This window comes from Homo sapiens, chromosome 7 (genome assembly GCF_000001405.40).
Source record: "Homo sapiens chromosome 7, GRCh38.p14 Primary Assembly".
NCBI classification, from domain to species: domain Eukaryota; kingdom Metazoa; phylum Chordata; class Mammalia; order Primates; family Hominidae; genus Homo; species Homo sapiens.
Window position 1 is genome coordinate 29,134,313 of NC_000007.14, and position 21,390 is coordinate 29,155,702.

Here is a 21,390-nt window from a genome sequence, read left to right on the forward strand (position 1 = left end):
ACCAATCAACTGCAGGGAGCCAGTGAACTGCTGACAAATCCCTTCAACACAGTGTCCAACCAGCAATTTAGTTTCTCACACTTAATATGTAAATAGACTTCAAGGAACCATTGGGTATTTGAGCAAAGCCTCCAACTTGGTAGAAAATCCAAAAGAAACTGCACAAAAATAAAAACTCACAAGAAATAGCAATGTATGAAGCAGAATAACTCTCCAAAAACCAAAATGTCTTTAAGGAGATAAGAGAAGATATTGCATCCATTAAACAACAGAATAAAATACAAGAACATGCTTCTGAAAATTAAAAACATAATCTTAAGAAATCTTAAGAATTTGATAAAAGGACAGTGCAATTAAGTTATAGAAATCTCACAGAAAATATAATTGAAAGATAATAGAACTTTAAAAAATAGGAAGAAAAAAGATAAGGAAATTAGAAGATTGGTTCCAGAAGACCAATATCTGACTAATGGGAGTTCCAGAAAAAGATGGCAGATAAAATTCAGGGGAGATCAGGTGGCTCATACCTGTAATCCCAGAACCTTGGGAGACCAAGGCAGAAGGATAGCTCCAGCCCAGGAGTTCGAGACCAGCCTGGGCAACATAATGAAATTTCATTTCTACAAAAAAGGTTTAAAAAATTAGCCAGACATGGTGGCACACACCTGTGATCCCAGCTACTTAGGGAGCTGAAGTGGGAGGATCACTTGGGCCCCAGGAGGTCAAGGCTCCAGTGAGCCATGATCGCACCACTGCACTCCAGCCTAGATGACAGAGAGAGACCTTGCCTCAAAAAAAAAAAAAAAAAAATCAGGGTAAGAAATTATCAAAGAAATACTGCGAAAATATCTGCAGAGGTATAGATATGATTTTTCAGATTTAAAGGAACCATCAAGTTCCCAGATCAAGAAATGAAAAGATGAAGAACACATTTCAGAAGTGACTATTAGAAACTTTCCAGAGAAGAAGACAGAAAGAGAATGGTATCACATAAAAAGAATCAAAAGCCAAAATTGTATTAGATTTTTTTTTTTTTTGAGACGGAGTCTTGCTCTGTCGCCCAGGCTGGAGTGCAGTGGCGCGATCTTGGCTCACTGCAACCTCCACCTCCCAGGTTAAAGCTATTCTCCTGCCTCAGCCTCCTGAGTAGCTGGGATTACAGGTGCACGCCACCATGCCTAACTAATTTTTTTGTATTTTTAGTAGAGACGGGGTTTCACCATGTTGATCAGGCTGGTCTCGAACTCCTGACCTCGTGATCCACCCACCTCAGCCTCCCAAAGTGCTTGGATTAGAGGTGTAAGCCACCACGCCCAGCCTATATCAATCATGAGAATAAATAAATATTCAGAAATACATAAGAGTTATTTATTTATTTTTATTTATTTATTATTTTTACAGATAGGGTCTCACTCTGTCACCCAGGCTGCAGTGGCAGTACAATGCTGCAATTACAGCTCACTTCAGCTTCTAGCTTGCAGGCTCAAGCAATCATCCCACCTTAGCCTCCCAGAGTGCTGCTATTACAGATGTGAGCTACCACACCCAGCTAGATTTTGATTTTTATTTTTAATTTAATTTTTTTCACCTCATATACAGCTTGGGAACCAGCCAGTTTTTTTTGTTTGTTTGTTTCTCATATACCACTTCTCAGAAAGCTACTGGCAAATGTGGTCCACCAAAGCAAGGATGTAAACCAAGAAAGAGGAAGACATGGGAGCCCACTAACAGGGGAACTAGGACTGAAGAGGGGAAGTGAAATCACAGAATAACAGTTATATTTAAAGAGCAACCACTGCATATTGGAGCAGTAAGATAGAGGGGGATCCACATGAGATGTCCTCAAGGAAGAAATATATCTATAACTGACTACCGCATGAGTTTTTGTAAAAAATCATATCAATAAGGATATTACAGTTCTGTCAGCAAGTTTGGACAGAAGTTATAAGAGTGATAGAGAAAATAGAACAATCCAAAGAGGAAATTTTTAAGTTGATGAAGAAAATAAAACTGTACAAGACATGGATTGCAATTATAGTATACTACTTGGCTCAGCAGTGAGCATATTTACATAATAAGGTAAATATTAGATATTGATTTGGCAAAAGAGAAAATTATATCACCATTTGGACAGGTTGGAGGGTAGGAAAGTCAGGAGGTAAGGTATGTAAAAGTGGTGAATTTTCACCTTGTTGAATAAGTCAATAGAAAATACCTCAAATAAAAGGTGTAACCCTAAAACCAATAAATCAAGAAACAGATTAGGCAGATTACTTGGAAATTTGGAATTAAAGGCTAGAACAGACAGGTAAAAGTATGAGAGGAGGTCTCAGAGATAAGAGAAGGATGGGGAGGTGGGGAGAAGAAGACTAAAATTTTTTATCATGAGAATTATAACATTACTTTTATTATATTGACAAAAATCAAAAGTAGTTAAGAAGAACTCAAAAACTAAACTTATTATCTCCTTCCCTAAACTTGTCCTTACTTCCCTATTTTTCATCTTGGTTGGAAATACTCCCATCAACTCAAGTACTAAAGCCAGAAATCCAGGATGTATTCTTTATTTATCCATTTTTCTCTGGCCCTGCATTCCCACAGCCAATCAATCACCAACTGAATCTCCTAGATGTTCTTCAAATTCACCTTCACCTCTCTAAATCTACTCTCATGGCCTAATCCAGTTCTTTATTGTGACTTGCCTGGACTACTGCAAACCTCCAAACTAGTTTCCAACCTTGACTTTAACTCCTAATTAAATGAATCCCTCTATACTTCCCTCATGTGCTGCTGTCTCTCCTATTGAGGTGGCATCACTGTCTGGGGTAAATACCTGGGGTTCGCCATCTCATGCCAAGATTAAGGACATGGACACGCACAAGGAGTGAGTTTAGGAGCAGAGGTTTAGTAGGCAAAAGAAAGAGAAAGGAGAACACTTCTCTCTCTTGCAAGAGAGGGGCATCTGAATGGGAAATCTGGCCCTCCGTGGAGTGCACCAGATTTTATAGACAGGCTTGAGGAGGTGGTGTCTGATTTATATAGACAAAGATTGGCCCACAGATTGGCTGGACCAGGTGTGACATTTACATAGCATGCAGGGAAGCTGGCCACCTCACCCTAACCTTATTAAGCAAATGGGCTTTCCACTTGGCCAGCATTACTGTCTGTTCCCTACTGTACACATGGTTGGAAAGGAAAAGGGAAGACGGAGCTGCCATTTTGAACATGCCTAGCCCAGGTAGCCTTTTCCTATTGGCACAACTGCCGGCATTCACCTGTGCAAGCTTCCAGCTTACTTGTCTATGTGTGTAGCTCAATTTTATAGGCAGGCTGCTCTTTGTTAGAAAAGAAAATGATTTGGGGTCTGCTTTTCATTAAAAGGAAAACCTTACCGAGGACTCCTGTACTCTCACTATCTGCCCAAATAATTTCTTCTTAACGCCTATATCACTATTTTGGGAGGTCATAGAATTTATAGCATTTAAAAATTTGTTATGCAGCAATAGATAACCAATACAGAGGCAGGAGAAAAGCATAAGTAGGAAGTGGAGAAATAGGATGGAATCTAGAGAAGTCAGTAGAGAGCTGATCAGGGAGAGTTTTCTAGATATGCTAAGAATCTTTATCCTCTAGTGACTAGGAACTACTGAAGGGCTTGATAATTTGAAAAGAGTACTATGAACATCAATGTAAGGATGGACTTAAGCCAGAAAGACAGCAGGCAGGAAGGCCAGTTAATATGTTTCACAATAATCTAGAATAAAGATGACAGGAGTTTGAACTAGGGCTGGAAACTAGTAATAATAGCGTGGAGAGGGCAGACTTAAAAATAATTAGAAGGTTGACTGGGAGCAGTGGCTCACGCCTGTAATCCCAGCACTTTGGGAGGCCAAGGTGGGTAAGATCACCAGAGGTCAGGAGTTCCAGACCAGCCTGGCCAACATGACAAAACCCTGTCTCTACAAAAAAATACAAAAATTAGCCAGGCTTGGTGGTATGTGCCTGTAATCCCAGCTATTCAGGAGGCTGAGGTGGGAGGATCACTTGAACACCGGAGGCAGAGGTTGCAGTGATCCAAGACCACGCTGCTGCACTCCAGCCTGGGCAAAAGAGCGAGACTACGTCTCCAAATAATAATAATAAGAAGAAGAAGAAGAAAGTAAAACTGGAAGAAACTTGTGATTATATATTAGAGTTGAAATAGAACAAAGAATCTAGGATGATCCCAGATGTGACTTAGATGGCTGGGTGGGTGGACAGTGGTGCCATTAACCGAGAAAGAGAGAGACCCAGATCCCTGGGAGTGAAAATCAGCTCTGCTGCTAATCAGTCTAAGATGCTCCCAACAGAACATTAACAATGTTTCTATATACCCAAGGCCACTCTGCAGCTGCAGTATGATGGACAGTCCTTTTTTCTGAGCAACTGCTGTATTCTTACCAATGATAGCGCTTTGTCCCTCCCATCTCCTGAACAGAGACTGCTGAGAGTCTAAGTTCCTGAGCTGCCACGGGCACTTGGCAGCAGCTAATCCAGCGGGTACCTCTTCCCTGATCCCTCCTTCGACTCATTCAGCACAAGGCCAAATATTTCAGAGGCCTCTTCCCACTTCTCCCAACCTTTGGGTATGTGTCCTCCTTTGCTGGACATAATGCTAACACACCTAACTTTGTGTCATTACACATGTATTTCTCATATTCTCTGCTGAGTGGGTTTCAACTTCCATCCCACTTGAAAGGTGTGCTGAGAAAAGGTAGAAGGAGACTAAAAAATAGGGAGAAAAGAGACAATAAAGCCAGACCGTAGAGGATGGCTGCGGGCTCCCTATAGTACATTACATTCTAAGACGAGCAGGAAAGGCTCTGCCACAATTCCTGAATGTACAAGGTCAAAAGTTCCAGCCTTCACTTTGCCAACAGGTATATCCTTGGGCAAGCCAATTCACTTCTCCCCTTGGACTTCAGTTCCTTCATTTGTAAATTCTGGAGATTAGATGGACTATATAATTCCCAAAATCCCTTTCAGCTTGGAATGTCTAAGATTCTAAAAATGCAGCCAAGGAGATCAGGCTAAAACTGCTTCAGGCTTTGAGTCACAGGGATGATTCACGCAGGCTACCTTAATGAAAGAACTTCCACATCTGCTCTAGGTGCCCTGAACCTACACATTTCTGTCAGTGTTCGTAAGACAACCTAAGAAACCTAAGAAAGGCTATTCTTGGGGGGGCAGGGGGGCTACAACACTGATTAAATTACATGTTTTTTAAGCACAGATTTTTTAAAAATCCTATTAAAATTCTAAATCAGTGGCTTCCAGCAATTTTTCTCTGAAACAGACGTCTCGGATTTTGCAGACACCAATGTTCAGGCACACGTGTACACAAGAATGGTGGAAAGAGTCATGGTTTTACATGGAGTGTGCAGTCTGCCAGCTCAGAAATCTCCTGTGTCCCAACGGCACAGGCGGTTCATTCTCCTGCCAGCCAAGTTAATTCTACCAACATGCCAATAGTTAGAAGGGGAGAAAACAAAACAAAACAAATTATTTCCACTTGACTTGCTGATTGCTAATAATATTCTTCATCAAGTAACCCAGGCAGGAACACTTTTCATCTTCAGAATTAGCTATGGCTGCCATTTCCCCTTTTGTCAAATACAGGGAGATATTTCCCACGGTCTGCACATGACTCAGAATGGCTTCATCTTTATTTCACGTTCTACATTTCTTGTTGCTTGACTTAGGAGCATATGAGCTTTTCCCTAGCCAGGCCTTTCCCTGCAACCTACCTACCCTCCCTCAGCACTAAACAATCACATTTCTTGATCCATTCAAACATGCAGGCCTCGGCTGGACACAGTGGCTCACACTTGTAATCCCGGCACTTTAGGAGGCCGAGGCAGGAGGATTATTTGAGCCTAGGAGTTCAAGACCAGCCTACGCAATGTGGCAAGACCCTGTCTCACATCAAACAAACAAACAAACAGGCTTCTACCCACACTCTTCTATACAAATAGTTTTCTCTCCTTTAACAGAACTCAACTCTTCAGAGATTTTCTAACCATACAGTAAAGGGTGAGACACTTTGCTAAAACTTGTGGAGTAGTTAAAGATGAAAAGGGGACAGTATCCACCTTCAAGGAGCCCTCATTCTAGCAAAGAGAGACATGCATGAAAACCAGTAAACCCTAAATACTGTCATAAAGCATGAGGAATGCAGTTCTGTGCCCCACTACAAATAAACACTGCACTTAGTAAAGTCCTCACTGGAGGAAGACCCCATTCACAATGCAAATCCTATTACTCACTATACAACTTGCTACTTCTAACTTTGGGAAAAAAGCATTGAGGAAGCAGCATAATTCTCAGGGCTTCCATAGTCAACTGGGGGTAATCTTGCTCCAGGCTACACATTCTATCGCACCCTCTCTCCAAAGACTCCCCAGGGAAGGAAAATAAGAAAAAAGCAAAAAGTGACCTTAGACAGGCACAACTGTGGGACAATGAGGGAAGGCAGAAGATTGATGGGGTAAAACAAATGCATAAGTGAAAATAGAGCTTTTCTCCACTTCACCCTTAAATAAGCCAGGATTTTAGGTATGATCTTAAGGAGAATGAATGAAGTGATTGTTGAACTCAGGGAAGTAGGAAGGTTGCATGACCTTTGTACCAGCTTTAGGGGCTGGCATTTCTGAGAGAGGCTGGCCCTTCCTGTAGAGTTCAAGAAGTTGGGTGAAAACAAGGCACAATCAGAGGGCAGACATCCTGCCAATTGTGCAACAACCAATTGTGCAATGTGCTTTGAGCTTCCCTGCTGATCACCTTCTCAAAACAGAGGGGCCACAGTAAGGAGCCTACATGTGCAAACGCCTAACACAGTACCTAGCATACAGTCAGTAGCATATAGGAAGGCAATGCAGTCCGGTGGGAATAGCATGAAAGATTTAAAGTATGCCCTCAGACCGGGCACGGTGGCTGATGCCTGTAATCCCAACAATTTGGGAGGCTGAGGTGGGCGGATCATGAGGTCAGGAGTTGGAGACCAGCCTGGCCAACATAGTGAAACCCCGTCTCTACTAAAAATACAAAACTTAGCTGGGCATGGTAGCACATGCCTGTAGTCCCAGCTACTTGGGAAGGTGAGGCAAGAGAATCGCTTTTACCCAGGAGGCGGAGGTTGCAGTGAGCCAAGATCGCCCCACTGCACTCCAGCCTGGGCGACAGGGTGAAACTCCATTTCAAAAAATAAAAATAAAAAATAAAAAAACAAAGTATGCCTTCACAGCTTCAAATGTGGCTTCTGCCACTTAAAAACTCTGTACCTTGGCCGGGCGTTGTGGCTCACGCCTGTAATCCCAGCACTTTGGGAAGCTAAGGCAGGCGGATCATGAGGTCAGGAGATGGAGACCATCCTGGCCAACGTGGTAAAACCCTGTCTCTACTAAACATATAAAAATTAGCCAGGCGTGGGGGTACACGCCTGTAGTCCCAGCTACTCAGGAGGCTGAGGCAGGAGAATCACTTGAACCCAGGAGGCAGAGGTTGCAGTGAGCTGAGATTGTGCCACCGCACTCCAGCCTAGGCAACAGAGTGAGACACCATCTCAAAAAAAAAAAAAGTAGCTGTTGCCTTGTGAAAAGATAGACAAGTTCATTAAATTACCTGGCTTCTGATCTGCAAGTGGGTTACCTGGAAAAAGCGTTGTATGCTCTAAAAGTCCTAGATAAAAAAATTTATTTAACTTTCTCTTCTTCTTTCCTCTGCCTCACCTTACCCCCTGAACTTCCCAGAATGGGAAAAGGAAAGACTTACTTCACTTTACTAGTGCAGATATGGTCTTTTAGTTAGGAACTGTGGTCAATTATTAATGAGAACTGCAGCTATAGTAACACTGTAGATAAACAGGCATTAAAATACTAACAGATCATTGAACACCTGTATTTATTTTTTGCTCCAAGGACTCCATATATTCAGATTTTCTTCAAGATCTTATCCTTTTTTCTCTTTCCGTACATTCCCATTCAACCACCCCTTGAGTATTAATCACTAGTCCAAATGTTTGTTCAGTCCTGACATTGCTATTGGGCATTTCAGGACAGTATCACCACTGTCAGCTGTCACCTCCAAAAGGATAACCAATCAGCCCCTCAAACCCACTGACTCTATAACAGGACGTCATCATTCTCCTCAAACTTCCTCCTTCTATGACTTCCAGATACTTTTTTTTTTTTTTTTGAGACACAGTCTTGCTCTGTTGCCCAGGCTGGAGTGTAGTGGTGCAATCTCGGTTCACTGGAGCCTCTGCTGCCGGGTTGCAGCGATTCTCCCGCCTCAGCCTCCTGAGTAGTTGGGATTACAGGCATGCACCACCACGCCTGGTTAATTTTTGTATTTTTAGTAGACACAGGGTTTCACCATGTTGGCCAGGCTGGTCTCAAACTCCTGACCTCAGGTGATCTGCCCGCCTCAGCCTCCCAAAGTGCTGGGATTACAAGCATGAGCCACCATGCCCAGCGACTTCCAGATTCTTAATGATGCTCCCTTATAATTGCAGATGCCTGAGTTCTAAAACCAGAAGTCCTCAAGTCAAATCTGTCACCAAGTGCTATTCTACTTCCTTTTTTCTCCATTCTATCCACAGTTCAACCCTTACTTGCCCCGAGACATTTACAAAGCTTCCTAACACATCTCTCAGACTTCCGGTCCTTTTCCCTCCAATTTAGCCTAACACTGATGCTTCAGTGAGCTTTCTAAAACACAAGGCACTCCATTCCTCCCATGCCTTCAATGGCTCCCACCTGCAACCAGGAAAAAGTATAAACTTTCTACGATGAAATTTAATGTCCTCCATGATACAACTTCAACATAACTTTTCAAACCAAAGTTACATGATTCCTTCACAAACTCTTAGCCTATGCTCCGCCAAATCAAAACTCTCCTTGTTCCCTAACCCTACCCTGCCTTTTATGTTTTTACAGCTTTGCTGAGCAAACCTCCAGGCAAACAGTAGGAACTAATCAATGCCAGTTGATTAATCAATTGAAATCAATACCCTGGCTTCTAATCAATAATAGAATCTAGGTAGATTCTAGATTGCAAAATTCTTTTGACTTTTCTGAAAGTTTAAACCTTTTCATAATCAAACACTGGGAAAAAATTAGTTAAATGAATAAATAAATGAGAAAATGAATCGCTTGGGACCTGGGTTACATTCTCTCCCAAGAATCATACAGTACAAAAAGATATGTGGCACTATCTTTTTGAAAGAGGGGTAATGGGATACAGAGTCCCAAAAAGGAAAGGAGGAAGAGCTTACCTTTAGGGTTCAAAGTAAATATTTTGGCCTGTAAACAATTCTAAGCAATTTAAAGACAACCAATAACTAGAATCAGACTAGAGAGAAAAAGGTAGGAGGTAAGTTCCAACTATATTGGAAAGATAAGCTGCTAAGAATTTGCTTTTTCAGGCTCCAAGATCTAAGGACACAGTCCTTCCCCCTCTTTCACTACCACCACCCTGTCCTGCACCCCAGGGTCTGAGTTAAAGCAATGAAAGCATGTGATTTCATGTTCAAGGTTATACCTCTAATATCTCTTAAGGGAGAGCAATCTCAATACCCTGGTTTCAGTTCAGATACGCTGTAACAGCTGTCTTGTGAACTGTCTATTAAGGCTTACATCTTTGAGCTTGCAAATATAGTATAAAAGTTCAAACTCCACTACTGTTTTTACCAGGAAAGTACAGTTCTTAGCTTTTTGCCCAGCTTACCTCTCTCACAAGTCAATATAGACGTTAATGAGTCATTGTTCTAGAGGTATCTTTCTAATTCTGAGAAGCTTGCCTACTTCTTTTAAATGTTCTTAGTTCAGTCAATGAAAATCTCACATTATAAAGCCATCGGAAATGGTAAACTAAAACAATCATGTTTGCTCTTTAGTGAACCATACTTCCTATTAAGAAGGGGTCACTGGCCAGGCACAGTGGCTCATGCCTGTAATCCCAGCACTTTGGAAGGCCGAGGTGGGAGGATCACTTGAGGTCAGGAGTTCGAGACCAGCCTGGGCAACATGGCAAAACCCCATCTCTACCAAAGATACAAAAATTAGCCGGGCATGGTGGTGTACACCTGTAATTCCAGCTACTCAGGAGGCTGAGGCACAAGAATCCCTTGAACCCGGGAGATGGAGGTTGCAGTGAGCAGAGATGGTGCCACTCCAGCTTGGGTGACAAAGTGAGACTCTTGTCTCAAAAAAAGAAAGAATGGGTCATTACTATTTACCTTGAGTATTTGGGTGCTAATAAACAGATATCTGATGATACCTGGGGCAAGAACTGAGTTCCTCCCCTCTCATTGCCTTAGTTCTGTGCATCCCAGGGTAGTATTCAACACTCAGTGTTTCCTCTGACAAACTAGATGCTTCCCAAAACAAAAACAAACTCATTTTTAGAATTCTGTTATATTATTTGCTTCTTGTTTTTATTTTTTGTGGGGAGTGAACTGGTAAACCCAGTGGACTTTCTTAACACTCTTCTAAGTCATTCAAACTGTCAGTCAAAACCCACCTATTTCTCAGGCTAGTAGAATCCCACTATAAAGTGATTTATAAACTGGATTTATATAAATTGGGGGATCAATTGCCCCTCCCAAACAATCATCTCCTATAAAAGATTAATAAAACAACATCTGGTTAAGAACACTGACACTACATTATAAAGGGTTGCCCCTGTACTTAGACTAGCATGAGGTACACATCTAGAATGCCCAGTTAGCCAAACGGTCTTGACGACCATGCAGACTTTCATATGCCAACAAAGCCGGTGCAGTGTACTTTTCCAAAAGTGCTCCAATTCTCCTTTTGGACAACTTTCTTAAACGTTATTTACCAAGCTAATAAAATGTATTCTCAATGGACTTTTTACTCTGCTTACATCTTTGTTCTTACTCATCCCAAAGCAAAGAATGGAAAAAAAATGAGTTGTACATTTAGCCGGGGAAGGGAAAGGCAAGTACTGAGGGGCTCCTTTTTCATTTACTGATGCCAAAACTGAGGCTGTGGAAGATAAGTTACGTCCCTGATGTCATCCAAGTAGTGGATACCGGAACCAGGAATTGCACAGAATTGTCCAGCTCCAAAACCCAAGCACCTTGCTTGGGACCCACTGGGGTTGCAGTGAAGGTGGGGGGCTCAGAGGTGACTGCACACGGGTCATGCATAGCCACAGTCATTATATGGCCAGAGTTTTAAACATTATTTTGTTCTGTCTTCACCATAGACTTCATCATCAATCATAACTGATAAGGAAAATTACACTTAGCTGAAAAGCCAAGTCCCGTGCTAGGGAGGCATTTTCTGTATGTTATTTCTATTTCCAATAAAACAATTCTTTAAAAAGAAAAACTTATTATCTCCATCTTTCAGATGGAAAGACTGAGGTTTAGTAGGCTTAAATAATTTGCCCGAGGTCACTCACTAGCCAAGGCCAGAACTGGGATTTAAATCCACAAATATTCCAAAGTCCTTTTGTTTCTGTATCACTTCACAGGGAGCTGCTTCCACCTGTCTCCTGTGCCCTTGGTTTCTGCTAATCCTACATTCCAAGAATAAAAGTCTTCCTATGCGTTCCTAGGCAGAAGCCAAGTTTCCCTGCTTTGGGCACGTTCAAAATAGAAGGTATTTTCCGCTTCTCTTGCTTCTGAGCACCCACGAAATCAACACATCCCCAAAACACGCGTTGAGGGAGTAAGGGAAAGTGTCCTGCACCCGCCACCCTCCCGCGCTAAGAGCGGCAGAGGACCCCACAGCTTCGTACTTCCCCGGAGGAGCTCCTGGAGTAGGAGACGGCTTCTAGCCTGGAAGAACCCCGGGTGCGACAGTTGTGCCAGGAAACTTCAAGAGTATTCCCTCGGCTGGGCGCACGCAGTACATCCCCAATGCTCCAATTTGAACTTTGACTCGGCCACGACCACCCCACTCCAGTCTCACTCTACGGTGCTTTCTCCCCTGTTGGTGCTGAGGGCTTTTGAGACTACCTGCCCCGCGCTCCCTAAGTCCGAGGGACCGAGGCGAGGACCTGTCCCGCTGAGCTGGCACGACCCACGCAGGGCAGGCGGCACTTACGCGGCGCAGTCGGTGCTCCTCCCTGAGCCGCGGCGCGCAAGGACCCCAGCCGGTTGTCCTTGCAGCGCTTCCCAAATCAGGCAGAAGTGAGGCAGCCCCACCCAGTCACGAGGACCCTGCAGAACTCGAGCCTTTAAGCGCTCCTCTAGGCTCACATGACCCAGACCCACAGGGCAAAAAGTGCGTCGTCGTGTCCCAACCTCCTGGTCCCAGAAACCTGGCCGCATCAAGTCAGCGCTTCCCATGCTGGAAGAAGCAAGCAGCCCCAGGGTGGAATCTTAAAAATTAATGAAGAGCATCGGCGGGGTGCCATTCAGGTTGGTTTGTCCCTTTGTTTTATTTTGATTTTGTCTCCCAGTTTTTAAAAGCTGCTATCTTAAAATTTCAACCCTGTATTTTGAAATTATTTCTGCACTCTAGGACTTACTTGCAAGCCCAGGATTTACATTTGGAAAGCGAGTGGTGTTTGATTCCCACTGTTTAAAAAGGCAACACACGTTCGCTGATGGTCTACATTCCAGCTGCACTAGCAGTAAGCTCGCACCAAGTGCCACTGTCCTGCCAAGCACTCTCCTGAATCACTGCGCTGGAGTCTCAGAGCCACCTGATGTGTTCTGTACCATTATACCCATTTTGCAATTGGGGGACACAAACTAAGTGAGGTTAAGTAACCCATCCAGGGTCACATTGCTTGTAAGTGACCTGAGTGTATATTATTAGCCACCACCAGGTGCTGGGCATCGAGCCAGACAGTACGGGAGCAAGAACTAAAAAAGGCAAGGAGGTTGCAATGGCAAGTAGATAACACAAAATAAAGGAGGGTCATCATTATCAGCAACAGCAGCGTCAACTGCCAGACAGGTGGGAGAGGCCACGGGGAATCTTCTGCACTGTCCCGGGCCAACCTCCATCTCCTCACAGCTAGCTGCAGGAGTGAGCCCAGGGAAACCCGCAGTAGAGCAGCCCAGCCAACCCGACAGTCAGGGGGAAAAATTGTTTTAAGCCACTTTCAGTTTCGCGTAGTTTGTTATGCAACTAAGGCTAACTAAAGCACTAGTTTTACGAGCTGGAACAAACTAATGTCACTGAATATCTGTTTTCTCCTAAGTACCTACTTTATTGGGTTGTTGTGAGGACTCACTGAAAAACTATGTGTAAATCACCCAGCACAAAGTATGTGCTCAGTGACTGCAGTCATTCTTTGCTATCATACCTTCCATATGGAAGTACTTCCTACCCACCTAGCTCTTTAAGGAGAAAAATCTGTTTGTGGGAAAATAATTCTTTTAAGGCCAAAATCAGCCCACCTTTAATATATGCAGGACCCAGGGCAAAAGTACAAACAGAGATCTGTAGGCCAGATACCTAAATATTTAAAAGTTATAAACAAAGTTAACAAATGATTAAGTACAATAAGTTCTACCTTCCTACCTAGACAAATATACCTTGGGAATTGACATGAAAGGCCAGATTGAAACTTTGGATGATCTGCACTTAAATATGATGGTGCAGGGAGAGGCGATTTCCAGTTCCTGGTTTGCAGCCACCTCCTCTCTTCCCACAGGGCTCTAGTCCATTGGTGGAAGCTCGGTCAAGCTTCCCAGAAGCAGCTGTCCCCCAGCCACCTCTTGGGCACAAGAGTATGAACACCAGAGTCAGCAATGTTCGCCCATGGGAGTACAGACATTAGCAGATAACACTGCTGCTGGCGTGCAGACCCTTGAAGCAGGCTCAGTGCCATTTGGGGAGGGAATTTGGAATTTGCCTTCTAAAGTGTGGGCCCTGGACAAGGGCTCCTTGGGTCTAAGTATAAGGACAACTACTGGCCAAAGAATACCTGTGCCCACGTGGAACCACTTAAAAACTAAACTGAATTTTACAGTAAACACAGGAGGAGCCATGCTGTAAGCATATTTATTCAAAAACAGGGTGTCCCAAAAGTCTTCCTGCAGTTTTAGTAACCTCAAGGCTATAAATGCTGCAACTTATAAGAACACCATTTGAAAGTTAATTTAACACTATTTATCTCTGTGAATGTTGAATAACACGTTTTAACTTTAATTTTTGTTTCAGTTCCCCTGAGTGAAATATGGCATACATTAACCAGAAGAGAAAATTACATTTATTAAAATAATTAAAACAGAGTCAAAAGAAGTAAACGTTCAAATGAGTTTTGTAAGTTTGTAGCATTTCGACTTAAGAAGTTATTAAAGCTTAAAACTGCACTGACCTTTTTGGGGTACCCTGTATTCGGATTTGTCGTGTGTCAGGTTCTGTGCTAGACACTTGATTAAAAAGAAAAAACAAGAAAAAAGATAGTCTTCTTTAGGGAACTTGAAGTTTAGTTGTGGGGAAGGGATGAAGGGGACACACAGATTGATCCCATCATACAATATAAGAGCTGTAATTGGGGCTGATAAAGTGTGTGTGTGGGGGAACAGAGGACAGGGACCAAATGACTCTGCCCGAAGAGCCAGGGGAATCCTGTCAGAGGAGGTGACTTGAAGCTAGACATTAAAAAATGAATAGCCACTGAGGGGAAAGGTGGCAGCACAGGCAATGAGCAGGCCACCTGCACTCAGGTTGATGCTGTGCTCTTGGACAGATGGACTGTGCGACACCAGGCGTGTTCAGGGTGGGTCGGGGGTTAACTAATACTGAGGTTAGAAAATTAGACTGGAGCCAGCTTGGAAAGGGCAAGAATGCTGAGCTCTAGAGACTGATGTTGTTCAAAATTAGTAGATTGGGAAGTCTGTTTCCCTTTTTTTTTTTTTTTTTTTTTGAGACAGAGTCTTACTGTGCCGCCCAGGCTGGACTGCAATGTCGCAATCTCAGCTCACTGCAACCTCCACCTCCCGGGTTCAAGCGATTCCCTGCTTCAGCCCCCCGAGTAAGCTGGGACTACAAGCACCCGCCACCACAGCCAGCTAATTTTTTGTATTTGTAGTAGACACGGGGTTTCACCATATTGGCCAGGCTGGTCTCGAACTCCTGACCGCAAGTTATCCACCTGCCTTGGCCTCCCAAAGTGCTGGGATTACAGGTGTAAGCCACCGTGCCCAGCCTGGAAATCCATTTTCTTAATGAAAGAGAATAAAATAGAACAAAATAGTACAGAACAGAATAGAACCATAGGACAGGAGTATGTGCTTTCCAGGGAGGTTGTAACTGAGCAGCTATTAACAGTAGAAATTTATTGTCTCATAGTTCTGGAGGCTACAAGTCTGAAATTAAAGTGCCAGCAGGGCCAGGTTCCCTCTGAAACCTGGAGGGGAAGGATCCTTCCTCGCTGCTTCTAGGTTCTGGTAGCCCCAGGTGTTCCTTGGCTTGTGGCAGCATCAACCCAATCTCTGCTTCAGCCTTCCAGGGCTTTCTCTCTGTGTCTTTTCACAGTGTCTCCCCTCCATGTGTCTGTCTCTGTGTCCCAATTTCACCTATTTATGAGGACACCAATGACATTGGATTAGGGTCCACTCTAATGACCTCATTTTAGCTTGATTACTTCTATGAAGACTCATTTTCAAAATAAGGCCACTTCACTGCTGCAATAGATATTTTTAGCCCTTCTCTTGTATTGAGAATATTCAAAGGTTGGCCAACAAATCGGTTTGCAAAGAGATTCGTTAAGCCTTCTTTGATTGGCTTTCCTGAAAACAAGATTTAAAACTGTCAGGTCGATCACAAGCCCTTGTGTTCTCTGCACCTGCATATTCTAGTGAGGTTTGGGTTTGTTAAGCCCTAGTGGTTCAGAGCATGGGTCAGACTCAGTTTGAATCTAGAACCTTGCACCTAATGACCATAAGCAAGTTACTTAATCTCAGTTTTCTCATCTGTACATGATAAAAATACTATTAGCTATCTTGCGGTATTATCAAGAGGAAGAAATAAGATAGTAGTACATATAAAGTGCTTGTCATATATAAAGGCTCAAAAAATGGCAGCTGTAACAATAATAATGGTGATCATGACAATCAAGATTCTAGGCTGTGACTGCAGTTCTTTCCAACTGTCTATCCAAGACAACTAAATTGTATCTGGACACCACACAAAAACATGCTTCTCACTGACCTATAGCCGGAGCTTTGCTGAACTCCTTAAATTCCAGTTAAGAAGACACAGAGAATAGATCATTTACACATCTTGATCAGGTAAATACAATTCCAATTGTCTAAGTTTGTAGGTCTGATTTTACATTTGCAGCTGCTGCCAGCAAGATAAATGTGGAGCTGCAATGGAAACAAGGGGAATTGATTAACCTTGTAGGCAATCATGCCCCTCTTGGAAGTGTCTAGGTCTCTCCCTGCACTTGTCAAGGCTTCTATAGCCATTGTTCCTTTTCAGTGTTGTTACTGATCTTCAATGGGGCCACCGGGTAGCCTGGAAACACAGCTCAGAGGCACAGCGAAAAGAGAAATGTCACAGCCCCCATGCACCACAATTAATTGTTCAATAAACACTTTTCTTAAGGAACGAAGCCAGATGTGTCACACCCACACACTTGCAAAACAACACTGTGCTATTAAAAAAGGGAGGGGTGGGTGGTAGATCCAGCTGAAGAAAGTCTACAGCTGTTCTGCACCTCAGCTATAAGCATTGAAGGCTTCATTAAGTGAGAAGTAGGCCCAGGTGGCGGTAACCAAGCTCTAAGACACAGACACATGCCCTGATCAACTTATTGAAGTGCTTCAGTCTCCTTGTACTTGGTAAGGAAGGGGCACCTCCTAAGACTAGCCACAGGCTACAGACTCCAGGGAAGTTGTGGATAATTACATGGTAATTATTTCTAATAAGTGCTTCCACTCTTAGCATGATTATCCTTCCCTGGGTTGCTTGCCTCCTTATGCCTGGTTTATGTAGGGAAACAATGTCCAAATTAATCTACGTCTTTTGTAAGTGAGCCTATACTCCTTTGACGATCCAGATGGTTTAGCGCCCTTTAGCAGCAGGTGTTAAGGCTTTCTTACAAAAGGCATATTTTCAGTTTCCCTTCGGCTATGGAAAAAGCCAGGCAAATAAGACTTCGGTGATTTAAGGATAAATTATGGGATTAATATAGACATGGCCACTAAGGACAGCTGAGCAAGCCCTGTGTAAAACCAAGAGAAATAATCATAGTGAAACTTTGTAAGGATTTTATGGTTTGCCCAACACTTTTTATATATATCATCTCTTTTAATTTTCACATCAGCCCTGCGAGGTATATATTGATATTATGATGAACCTGCCAGTGTGCTCAGGATAGTATCTGATTAAGGGCATGGCCTTAGGAGTAGACCGATGGCATCTGAATCCCAGCTCAGCCACTCATTAGCTGTGTGACCTTTGCTGTGTTAATTAACCTCTCTAAGCCTTAGCCTTCTCATGTATGGGAAGAGAACACCACCAATCCTACAAGGCTGATCTGAGGATTTGACGAAATTGTATGTATAGCCATCAACACAATGTCTGGCCCATAGCAAGCAGGTCATTCACTGGTTGAAGGAAAGACATTTGCAAAGGACAAACAGATAGTAAACAAACTCCCTTAGGTGAAGTAGTATTTGGAGTCTCCTCTTTTTCTCTTGTTTAGGTTTTATTTTATTTTCTTCGAATGGAAATAGTGGTTAGTGCAGGTGCTCTGCTTACTCATATTGTGCCTATGAAGAGTTGCATGATCCAAAGTGGGTTATCTAGAAAAGTGACTCTATAGCCTCTGAAGGGTTTTCCAGAACTTCAAGAACTAGGTCACATCACCAAATAAAGGAATACAAGTAAAATGGGCAAAAGGTATTTCTTGGTAGGAATGCTCAAGCAATTGCATAAAACCTTATGTTGCTTTTTATGCGTGGCAGCTCAGGCTAGACTGCTCAGAACTTCTTGCTGGGTTAACTGCTATGGATTTAAAGGATTCCCCCTTGATTCTGAGACAGCTACACCTAGGAGCACCAAGCAGTGAGAAAGAGAAAAGGTGCCAGAAAGCCAGTCCCCAGGTCTCTTTGTTCTCTATTCTCAGTTCCTGGCTAAATCTTTCTTGCTTTCCTCATTTGAAAATGGAAGTCATAACAACTTACCCACTCTATCCACCTTTACTGAGCCAAGGAGTCTGAATGCACTAGCTAAATGATACAGTGCCTGTCTTATGCCACATGTGACACCATGATCACTAATGTGATATAAATTGCCTGGGCTTAGTTTGTTCCCATCCACCCCACCCAGAGATCTATCAGCAAAAAGAAAAAAGGAATTATCCCTTCTTCTCAGTAGAAAAGTGACCTGACACAGAGCTGTTAAATTCTGGGCTCTTTTGCTCTGAGACGGTTGGAAGAGTTAACGCCATTTTGTCTCTTTCGGTGCACCCCATTGTTAAGTTTCTCTCAGTAAATTTTGACAAGAAACAGGCAAGCAAAACAAAATACACTCGATCCTTGTTATTCGTGGATTCCATATTTGCAAATTCTCCTCCATGGTCTGAATAACAAGGACCTCAGAATTCTTTGCCCAAATGTCCACAAGCTTGCTTCCAGAGCCTGCATGCCACTCTTCCTTGGAGTCATCCTCTATCTGAGGGGTGGCCAAAGGCCATGCTTACAGAGCTGGGATGCACAGGGAAGGATGTCCAGGAGAAGGACAGGTGTAAAGGTAGCACTCTACACCACCATGTTGTAGCACAGAACTTCAGGAAGTCTCAGAATTATAAACTCAAATTGATTATCTAGGTTGCTATCAAGGTATATCTTTCAAGGTAAGAGGGTATATTTCATTTAACAGTTTGTTCCCTGGTTTATAAGTGTTACATATCTAGACATATGGTATGTGGGCCTCTGTGTGTACTCTTGCCCCAAGCCTCCAAAGAAAGAGGCAGGCTTGGAAATAAATAAACATCTGTTGATTTAAACTACAGTTGACCCTTGAACGCATGTGTTTCAACTACACAAGTCCACTTATACACGGATTTTTTTCTAGAAAAGTGACACTGAGTGTGTCCACCTTCTCTCCCACCTCTCTACCTTTTCTGGTTTTGCCACCCCTGAGACATCAGGACCAACCCCTCTTCTTCCTTCTTCTCCTCTTCAGCCTATTCAATGTGAAGACAATGAGGATGAAGACCTTTATGGTGATCCAATTCCACTTAATGAACAGTAAATACATTTTCTCTCCCTTATAATTTTCTTTTCTTTTAGACAGAGTCTCACTCACTTTTGCCCAGGCTGAAGTGCAGTGGTATGATCTTGGCTCACTGCAACCTCCGCCTCCCAGGTTCAAGGAATTCTCATGCCTCAGCCTCCTGAGTGGCTGGGATTACAGGTGTGTGCCACCACACCCAGATAATTTTTGTATTTTTAGTAGAGACAGGGTTTCACCATGTTGGCCAGGCTGGTCTCGAACTCTTGGCCTCAAGTGATCTACCTGCCTCGGCCTCTCTAAGTGCTGGGATTACAGGCATGAGCCACCGCACCTGGCCTCCCTTATGATTTTCTTAGTAACATTTTCTTTTCTCTAGCTTACTTTCTTGTAATAATATAGTATATAATATGTATAAAATACAAAATATATTAATTGTTATGTTATAATAAGGCTTCTGGTCAACAGTAGGCTATTAGTAGTTAAGTTTTGGAGAAGTCAAAAGTTATATGTGCATTTTTGACTGCACAGGGGGTTGACAGCCCTAACCTCTGCATTTCTCGAGAGTCAACTGAACTAATATCTAGGACCTGTTTGTCACCACATCACAGCCTCATTTATTCTGACAGTTGCCCCTGGGGAGGAGGGTGGTGGGCTTCTCATTGCAGAATCTGTGGAACAGGATGCCAGCAGACAGAGGAGGGGCCCCAGCCAGCAGCTCTGAGTAAGTGAAGGAACAATAAGGGCAACAGCAGTGTAAATGCTGGAGATCAGGCCCCTCTCCATTCGTATGCAGTGAATCAGCCTCTAGCATGTCTGTATGAGCTAAATGGGTGGGGCTTCCCCATCCCTTCTCTTTGCCTCCCTTCACCTGTAGATTTTGGATGTTCCTGCCAAACTCAGCAGGTGTGAGCTCAAACTGGATTCTTTTTCAAAAACATAAAAAGAGATGACACTTCTTATACTCTAGATGTCATGAAACAGTTCACACCTGATCGATATTTAAAGAAGTATTATTATTAGGCTGGGCACGGTGACTCATGCCTGTAATCCCAGCACTTTGGGAGGCCGAGGCAGGCAGATTTCTTGAGGTCAGGAGTTTGAGACCAGCCTGGCCAACATGGTGAAACTTCATCTCTACTAAAAATAAAAAAAATTAGCCAGGTGTGGTGGCACGTACCTGTGGTCCCAGCTACTTGGGAGGCTGAGGCAGGAGAATCTCTAGAACCCGGAAGGCAGAGGTTGCAGTGAACCAAGATTACGCCACTGCACTCCAGCCTGGGCGACAGAGTGAGACTCCGTGTATTAGTCCATTTTCACACTGCTGATAAAGACATACTCGAGACTGGGCAATTTACAAATGAAAGATGTTTAATTGTACTTACAGTTCCATGTGGCTGGGGAAGCCTCACAATCATGGTGGAAGACAAGGAGGAGCAAGTCACATCTTACATGGATGGTGGCAGGCAAAGAGAAGGGTGCTTGTGCAGGGAAACTCCCCTCTTTAAAACCATCAGATCTCGTGAGACTTATTCACTGTCAGGAGAACAGCACAGGACCTGCCCCCATGATTCAATTACCTCCCACCAGGTCCCTCCCACAACACGTGGGAATTCAAGATGAGATTTGGGTGGGGACACAGCCAAACCATATCACTCCATCTCAAAAAAATAAATAAATGAAAATAAAGAAGTATTATTATTATCTAAACTTGGGTTGCACCATTTCAGGGAAAACAACTACATTTTAACAACATAAGTTAAAAAGCCATTATCAAAAATAAATAAATAGAACTCTTTCCAATGCTAAGAGGAAAGACAAGGCTGAGAGAAAAGAAAGAAATTAAAAGGTATTAAATCCTTACTACCAGCCAAAGTCATGCTAAGTGTATCACACATGAGGTCATTCAGCCCTTACTGTAACCCGAAAAGGTAGATATTATATTCTCCATTTTCTAATGGATGTAACAGAAGAATAGAGATGTTCAAACATGTGTCCAAGATCAAAGAGCTACTGAGTGTCAGAACTGGAATTCAAGCATAGGTCTCTCTGACACCAAAACTGCCATTTTTCTCACCTCTTTGTCTAGCTGCCTCCACTCCAATCTGAAGCTTGGAATACAAGCTTTGGATTCTTCCAATCATCGTCCTGCTTCCGTGTTTTTAAATCCTGT

At 43.1% G+C, this 21,390-nt stretch overlaps 2 protein-coding genes across 23 annotated transcripts in view, besides 1 other annotated feature; one reads left to right on the forward strand and one right to left on the reverse strand.

Moving 5' to 3' along the window:
* CPVL (carboxypeptidase vitellogenic like) overlaps positions 1–21,390 on the reverse strand; it is a 200,816-nt gene that overhangs the window by 139,677 nt on the left and 39,749 nt on the right. For 2 of the 20 annotated variants that reach the window (XM_017012366.2, NM_031311.5), the window contains exon 1: positions 12,117–12,225. The exons of 15 other annotated variants lie outside the window; for them this stretch is intronic. The gene's annotated coding sequence lies outside the window, so the exon portion shown is untranslated. Of the gene's footprint in view, positions 1–11,808; positions 12,226–21,390 lie in introns of those variants that run through there. 3 more of the 20 variants (XM_047420531.1, NM_019029.3, XM_011515437.2) reach the window with 2 other exon arrangements.
* Positions 4,370–5,569: an enhancer, noted in NCBI's record as "CDK7 strongly-dependent group 2 enhancer chr7:29178298-29179497 (GRCh37/hg19 assembly coordinates)". NCBI's record gives its function as "activates an origin of replication core promoter dependent on BRD2, BRD4, P300/CBP, MED14 and CDK7 cofactors, with strong dependence on CDK7, by STARR-seq in HCT116 cells {active_cell/tissue: HCT116}" and the evidence as "EXISTENCE:reporter gene assay evidence [ECO:0000049][PMID:35650434]".
* CHN2 (chimerin 2) overlaps positions 12,279–21,390 on the forward strand; it is a 367,738-nt gene continuing 358,626 nt past the window's right edge. For all 3 annotated transcript variants that reach the window (XM_011515105.3, XM_011515106.3, NM_001398427.1), the window contains exons 1-2: positions 12,279–12,433; positions 12,537–12,648. The gene's annotated coding sequence lies outside the window, so the exon portion shown is untranslated. The remainder of the gene's footprint in view (positions 12,434–12,536; positions 12,649–21,390) is intronic.